Source organism: Homo sapiens, chromosome 3 (genome assembly GCF_000001405.40).
Source record: "Homo sapiens chromosome 3, GRCh38.p14 Primary Assembly".
NCBI lineage: Eukaryota > Metazoa > Chordata > Mammalia > Primates > Hominidae > Homo > Homo sapiens.
In genome coordinates this window covers 180,077,335-180,080,425 of record NC_000003.12, presented here as the reverse complement: position 1 = coordinate 180,080,425, position 3,091 = coordinate 180,077,335, and the positions used below count along the sequence as shown (strand labels likewise).

The following is a 3,091-nucleotide window of genomic DNA, read 5'->3' as shown; positions in this document are numbered from 1 at the left end:
GCTGATAAGCTCATTAATGGCATTCTTTATTTCTTTTACAAGATTTTAGTTCTTCGCATTTCTTTTAATTCCCAAAGTTTCCATCTCTTTGCTTATATTCTTCACCTGTTCTTGTATGTTGTCAACTTTTTCTTCAAGTTCTTTAATATATTAATCATAGTTATTTTAAATTCACCATCTGATAATTCCAAAATCTGTGCTATATCTAAGTCTATTTCTGATGCTTACTTTGTCTCTTCAGACTATATTTTTTCTTGGCTTTGAGCATGCCTTGTAACTTTTTGTTGAAAGCCAGACATAATGTATTGGGTAATAGGAACAGGGGTGATTAGGCTTTTGGTGTGAGGTTTTATGGTAATCTAACTAGGCACTCCACTGTATTTAATGTTTATTTACTGTGGCTGTAGATACCAGAGATTTTAGTTGCCTCTAGTTTTTGTGTGTGTGTTTTATTCCCCTCTTGTCTTTGTGCTTACCTAAGGATTCCTTCTTAAGTTGAGTTTGTGTATTGTACCTCTCTTCATTGTAATCCACTGATACTATACTGCAGCTTTGCTGATGTGATAGTGATATGGGTTCGCTCTGTGTTCCCACCCAAATCTCATGTTGAATTGTAATTTCCCATGTTGAAGGAGGGGCCTGGTGGGAGATGATAGAATTATGAGGGTAAACTTCTCCCTTGCTGTTTTCATGATAGAATTCTCACAAGATATGGTTGTTTTAAAGTGTGTAGCACTTTCCTCTTCATGCTCTCTCTCTTTTCTGCCACCATGTGAAGACATACTTGCTTCCCCTCCACCCTTCCACCATGATTCTAAGTTTCCTGAGGCCTCCCAGCCATGCTTCCAGTACAGCATGTGGAAGTGTGAGTCAAACCTCTTTTCTTTATAAATTACCCAGTCTCAGGTACTTCTTTATAGCAGTGTGAGAATGAACTAATACAGAAAATTGGTATAAGAGAAGTGGGGCATTGCTATAAAGATACCTGAAAATGTGAAATCAACTTTGGAACTGGGTAATAGGCAGAGGCTGGAACAGTTTGGAGGGGTCAGAAGAAGACAGGAAGATGTGGGAAAGTTTGGAACTTCCCAGAGACGTGTTGAATGATTGTGACCAAAATGTTGATAGTGATATGAACACTGAAGTCCAGGCCGGGTGGTATCAGATGGAGATGAAAAACTTATTGGGAACTAGAGCAAAGGTCACACTTGCTATGCTTTAGCAAAGAGACTGACAGTATTGTGCCCCTGCTCCAGGGATCTCTAAAATTTTGAACACAAGAGAGATGATTTAGGGTACCTGGCAGAAGAAATTTCTAAGTAGCAAAGCATTCAAGATGTGGCCTGGTTGCTCTAAAAGCCTAGCTCATTTGCATAAGCAAAGAGAACTTATATTTAAAATGGAAGCAGAATATAAAAGTTTGGAAAATTTGCTGCCTGGCCATGTGGTAGAAAAGAAAAACCCATTTCCTGGGGAGAAAGTCAAGCTTGCTGAAGAAATTTGCATAAATAAAGAGGAGCCAAATGTTAATAGTGAAGACAATGGGGAAAATGTCTCCAGGGCATTTCAGAGACCTTCACAGCAGCCCCTCCCATCACAGGCCTAGAGGCCTAGGAGGGAAAATATGGTTTCACGGGCCAGGCCCAGGACTCAGCTGCTCTGCACAGCCTCAGGACATGGTGTCCTGCATCTCAGCTGCTCCAGCTCCAGCCATGGCTAAAAGATGCCAAGGTACAGCTCAGGCCATGACTTCAGAGGGTGAAAGCCCCAAGCCTTGGCAGCTTCCACGTGGTGCTGGGCCTGCAGGTGTGCAAAAGGCAAGAGGTGATGTGTGGGAACCTCTGCCTAGATTTCAGAGGATGTATGGAAATGCCTAGATGTACAGGCAGAAGTCTGCTGCAGGGGCAGAGCCCTTGTGGAAAACCTCTTCTAGGGCACTGCAGAGGGGAAATAGAGGGTTGAAGCCCCCACACAATTTCCCACTGGGGCCTGCCTAGTGGAGCTATGAGAAGAGGGCTAGCATCCTTCAGATCCCAGAATAGTAGATCCACTGACATCTTGCAATGTGCACCTGAAAAAGCTGCAGGCACTCAACACCAGCCCATGAAAGCAGTCACGAAGGCTGTACCCTGCAGAGCTGCAGGGGTGAAGCTGCCCACCCTTTGTGTCAATGTGACTTGGATGTGAGACATGGAGTCAAAGGAGATTATTTTGGAGCTCTAAGATTTAATAACTGCCCTGCCAGGTTTCAGACTTGCATGGCACCTGTAGCCTCTTTGTTTTGGCCAATTTCTCCCTTTTGGTCTTACCTAGTGCCTATACCCTCATTGTATCTTGGAAGTAACCAACTTGTTTTTGATTTTACAGATTCATTGGCAGAAGGGACTTGCCTTGTCTCAAATGAGACTTTGGACTTGGACTTTTGAGTTAATGATAGAACAACTTAAGACTTTAGGAGACTGTTGGGAAGGCATGATTGTGTTTTGAAATGTGAGAGGTACATGAGATTTGGGAGGGGCCGGGGTGGAATGATATGGTTTGGCTCTGTGACCCCACCCAAATCTTATGTCAAATTGTAATTCCTAGTGTTGAAGGAGGGGGCTGGTGGGAGGTGATAGAATCATGGGGGCGGAATTCCCCCTTGGAGTTCTCAAAATAGAGTTCTTATGAGATCTGGTTGTTTGAAAGTGTGTAGCACTTGCCCCTTTGCTCTCTTGGTCTCTGTCTCTCTCTGTCTCTCTCTGTCTCTCTCTCTCTCTCTCTCTCCTGCCACCATGTGAAGACATGCTTGCTTTGCCTCCACCCTTCCACCATGATTGTAAGTTTCCTGAGGCCTCTCAGCCATGCTTCCTGTACAGCCTGTAGAAGTGTAAGTCAATTAAACTTCTGTTCTTTATAAATTACCCAGTCTCAGGTACTTCTTTATAGCAATGTGAGAATAGACTAATACAGATAGTAAAGTGTTATTGATGAGAAGCTTTCTATAATCTTATGATAAGATCTCATTTTTGGTGTTCAGCTTGGGTTCCTGGGCTGTGACCTTCAGCAGTACAGTTGGCCCTCTGTAGTCACAGGTTCTGTATCTGTAGAG

The 3,091-nt window shown here is 43.3% G+C and overlaps 1 annotated feature.

Moving 5' to 3' along the window:
* Positions 1,225-1,749: an enhancer, noted in NCBI's record as "H3K4me1 hESC enhancer chr3:179796465-179796989 (GRCh37/hg19 assembly coordinates)". NCBI's record gives its function as "activates a minimal SCP1, AML or CMV promoter by ChIP-STARR-seq in primed H9 embryonic stem cells {active_cell/tissue: H9 hESC(primed)}" and the evidence as "EXISTENCE:reporter gene assay evidence [ECO:0000049][PMID:30033119]".